This window comes from Homo sapiens, chromosome 4, assembly GCF_000001405.40.
Source record: "Homo sapiens chromosome 4, GRCh38.p14 Primary Assembly".
Lineage (NCBI taxonomy): Eukaryota > Metazoa > Chordata > Mammalia > Primates > Hominidae > Homo > Homo sapiens.
The window spans coordinates 104,247,511-104,251,444 of record NC_000004.12 but is presented as its reverse complement, the minus strand read 5'-3'; the positions used below and the strand labels follow the sequence as shown (position 1 = coordinate 104,251,444).

At 39.7% G+C, this 3,934-nt stretch overlaps 2 annotated features.

Moving 5' to 3' along the window:
• Window positions 1,915-2,435: an enhancer, noted in NCBI's record as "H3K27ac-H3K4me1 hESC enhancer chr4:105170167-105170687 (GRCh37/hg19 assembly coordinates)". NCBI's record gives its function as "activates a minimal SCP1, AML or CMV promoter by ChIP-STARR-seq in naive H9 embryonic stem cells {active_cell/tissue: H9 hESC(naive)}" and the evidence as "EXISTENCE:reporter gene assay evidence [ECO:0000049][PMID:30033119]".
• Window positions 2,436-2,957: an enhancer, noted in NCBI's record as "H3K27ac-H3K4me1 hESC enhancer chr4:105169645-105170166 (GRCh37/hg19 assembly coordinates)". NCBI's record gives its function as "activates a minimal SCP1, AML or CMV promoter by ChIP-STARR-seq in naive H9 embryonic stem cells {active_cell/tissue: H9 hESC(naive)}" and the evidence as "EXISTENCE:reporter gene assay evidence [ECO:0000049][PMID:30033119]".

The window sequence follows — 3,934 nt, the reverse complement described above, 5'->3', positions numbered from 1 at the left end:
ACAGCAAAAGTAGTAGATGTGCCTGGATCTTTATCTGTGATCTGTTTGTGGTTATTTGTAGCCATTTTTCTTTAGACTAAGTTTTCCAGATATTTGAAAGGAGTTGGATGTTTTTAATCTAAGCTGTATCTGCTTAAGGGGACATCCCACACCTAGTAATGCTGTGGTTCTTGCAGACTCATAGAGTTATCATCTTGTTGGTCTTGTACAAAATCCAAGAGAATTCACTGGATCACCAGGCAGAGACTCTTGTTCTCTTCCCTTATTTTCTCCCAAACATACAGAGTCCTTATTCTAATCTTAGTAGGAAATCTTCTAGTTTCTTATCATTACATATGTTGTTAGCTATAGGTTTTTTGTAGATATTCTTTATCAAGTTGAGAATGTTCTCCTCCTTAGTTTGCTGAGAGTTTGTATCATGGGTAAATGTTAGATTGTTTCAAATGCTTTTTCTGCATCTACTGATATGATTATGTTTTTTTCTTCAGCCTTTTGTGTGATGAATTGTATTAGTTACTTTTCAAATGTTGACCCAACCTTGAATATCTGGGATAAATTCCAACTGGTCTTGGTGCCTATTTTTTTTTTTTTATAGAATGTTACATTTGATTGGCTTTGTATGAGGATTTTTGCACCTATGCTTATGATGGGATTGGTTTGTAGTTTTTTAAAATATCTTTGTTTGCTTTTGTTATTAAAGTATTACCGGCTTTACAGAGTTAGAAATCATTACTTTTGCTTTTGTTTTCAAGAATTAGCATGATTTATTTCTCAAATGTTTGGTAGAATTCACCAGTAAACACATCTGAGCCTGTTTATTTCTCTTTTGAAAGTTCTAAAATTATTATTTTCATTTATTTAAGCTATAGACCAGTTCAGATTGTTTATTTCTTCTTGTATGACTTTTAGTAGATTGTATCTTTCAAGGAATTGGTCCATTTTATCTAAGTTATCAAATTTGTGTGCATATAGTGCTCATAGTGTTCCTTTATTATTCTTTCCATGCCCATGAGATTCACAGTGATGTCCTCTCTTGCATTTCTGGTTTTGTGATTTGTGATTTCCTTTCTTTTTATTTAATTTGTCTGGATAAAGGTTCACCAATTTTTTCAGATAATGATATTTTGGTTCATTGATTTTCTCTATCAATTTACTGCTTTCAATTTTATTAATTTTGTTTTTATTTGTATTGTTTATTTTCCCCTTTAGTTTGAATTTCATTGTCTCTTGCTTTTCTAGTTTCTTAAGGTAGAAGCTTAAATTTTTGATTTTGGATCTTCTTTTCCTATATAAATTAAATGCTATAAATTTCTCAGTAAGCACTGATTTTGCTGCATTACAGATTTCTGACAGGTTGTATTCTTATTTTCATTTAGTTCAAAAATTTTTTAAATTTTTTGTGCAATTTCTTCTTTAAGCCACATGTTATTTAGAAAGGTATTGTTTAACCCCTAAGTTTTGGAATTTTTCCACCTATCTTCCTGTTATTGATTTCCAGTTTAATTCCATTGTGGTCTGAGAGCAGACATATCATTTCTATTTTTAAAAATTTGTGCAAGATGGCTGACTAGACACAACTAGGAGGAATAGCTCGCACTGATCAAGATCAAACCAGGCCATTGGGAAGACTGGCACACCCCAAGCAGATCTTTGGAGAGAAGACATTTAGAGTGGACGGAAAGAGGACACAGATCCTAAGCTGAAGAGAGGAAACTGGGAACACTTCACAGAGCTGCCAAGCAATGGGACTTGTTCCTGGTCCCCAGCAGCTCCTGCAGAAGAGGTGACTTGAACAGGGAAGGAGTGGCCCACTCTCACCACAGCCTCCCAGAATCCTAGCTACAGGAGACCCCGTGGTCCCCAAGAAGACTTGAGCTGACAAGAAGAGCTGTTTAGATATGTAGCAGGTACAGGACTCCAGCTTGTGCAGACCCCAGAGGGTTTGGCCTGGGAATTGCTTCAGTGGAACATGGTCAGGGACACCCACCTATCACCAAAGCTCACCATGCTCCTCTAAGTGGCATTAGCATTTGATGACTGCTGGACCTGGACAGAACAGAGTAGCCTTACCTGTTGGATGGGATCTGTCTGATCTTGGTGCCTTCCTGTCCGCCAGCATCTCCTGGGGCCTCAGCCTTGCTGTTACTGGTTGCAGAGAAGCCTTGGATGCAGGGGTCATCATCATAGCTCCTGTCCCCCACCAATGTGCAGCCACCAAGCCGCAGCATCCTCCCGCCACAGCCTCCTCTCATAACTTTGCCAATATACGCTCCACATGGAAACCCCTCCGACTGTGTGCTGACACATGTATGCAGGTGCACCTTGCCTCTCCTCCCCCACCAGTATACCCATACACAAACAACATTGCTCTGCCCCCACCAGCAACCTGCCCTTGCCAGTGCCCCACACCCACTGCTACACAGGAATTGTGTTTTGCAGCTGCCAGCACAAGAACATGCATGACAATAGCACTCTGCCTCCACTGGTGCCCCACCCCTGTCAACTCACATGCACCCTGCTGCACAGCTGTTCCTGCTGACACATGCGAACAGGCATGGACCCCACTGCCACAGCCCCAGTGTAGCACTGTGACTGGCACTCTCCATGAGAGTTGTTGCCAAAGACCTGGGAATACCTCAGCCCTCCCAGTGTGGGAGGTTTCTTACATTGAGGAGCCAGAGAACAAAGCTAGGGACCCAGGACCAGCCTCCTGGAGCTAGAGCACACAGCCCAGGAGTGATGAGCTAATAAGACTTTACCCCCAGAAGTCTTCCAGAAACAAAGCCAGTCAACTGAACCCATTTTATACCACAATGAAGCCATAAAGGACATCAAAGAATATGAAGGCAAAACAAAACCATCCAAAGACAGCAAGTTCAAAGACTTAAGAAACATCAGCCCACACAGATGAGAACCAATGTAAGAACTCTGACAAGCAAAAAGCCAGAGTGTCTTCTTACCTCAAAAGGATCATAATAGTTCCCCAACAGTGCTTCTTAACTAGAATAAAATGGCTGCAGTGGCACAAATACAATTCAGAATATGATTAGAGACAAAGATCATTGATATTCAGGAGAAAGTTGAAAGTCAATTCAGGGAACCTAAGTAATAAAATAAAATGATACAAGAGATGAAAGATAAAATAGACATTTTAAGAAAGAACCAAATTGAAATGATAGATCTGAAACACTCACTACAAGAGTTTTATAATACACTTGCAAAAACTTACAGCAGACCAAGCTGAAGAAAGAATCTCAGAGCTTGAAGACCGTTTCTTCAACTCAGTCAGACAAAAAGAAAGAAAAAAGAATGAACAAAACTTCTGAGAAATGTGGATTATGTAACGAAACCAAACGTGTGACTTATTGACATCCTTCAGAGAGACAAAGAGGAAGCAAGCAACCTGGAAAACATTTGTGCAGATATTTTCCATGACAATTTCCCCAACCCTGCCAACATTCAAATTCAGGAAATGCAGAGAATTCCTGTGAGATACTACACAAGATGACCATCCCCAAGATACATAGTCATGAGATTATTGAAGATAAACATGAAAACAAAAATATTAAAGGCACCTAGAGAGAAGGGGCAGGTCACCTACAAAGGGAACCCCATAAGGCTAACAGCAGACCTTTCAGCAGAAATCCCACAAGCCAAAAGAGATTGGGACCCTATATACAGTATCCTTAAAGGAAAAAAATTCCAACCAAGAACTGTATATACAGCCAAACTAAGTTCCATGAGCAAAGGAGAAATAAGATCCTTTTCAGAGAAGCAAATGCTAAGTGAATTCATTATTATTATCAGACTTGCCTTACAAGAGGTATTTAAGGGAGTGCTAAACATAGAAACAAAATCCCATTACAGGCCACCAAGAAAACACACTTAAACACATACCAATGACACTACAAAGCAACTATACAATCAAGTTTGC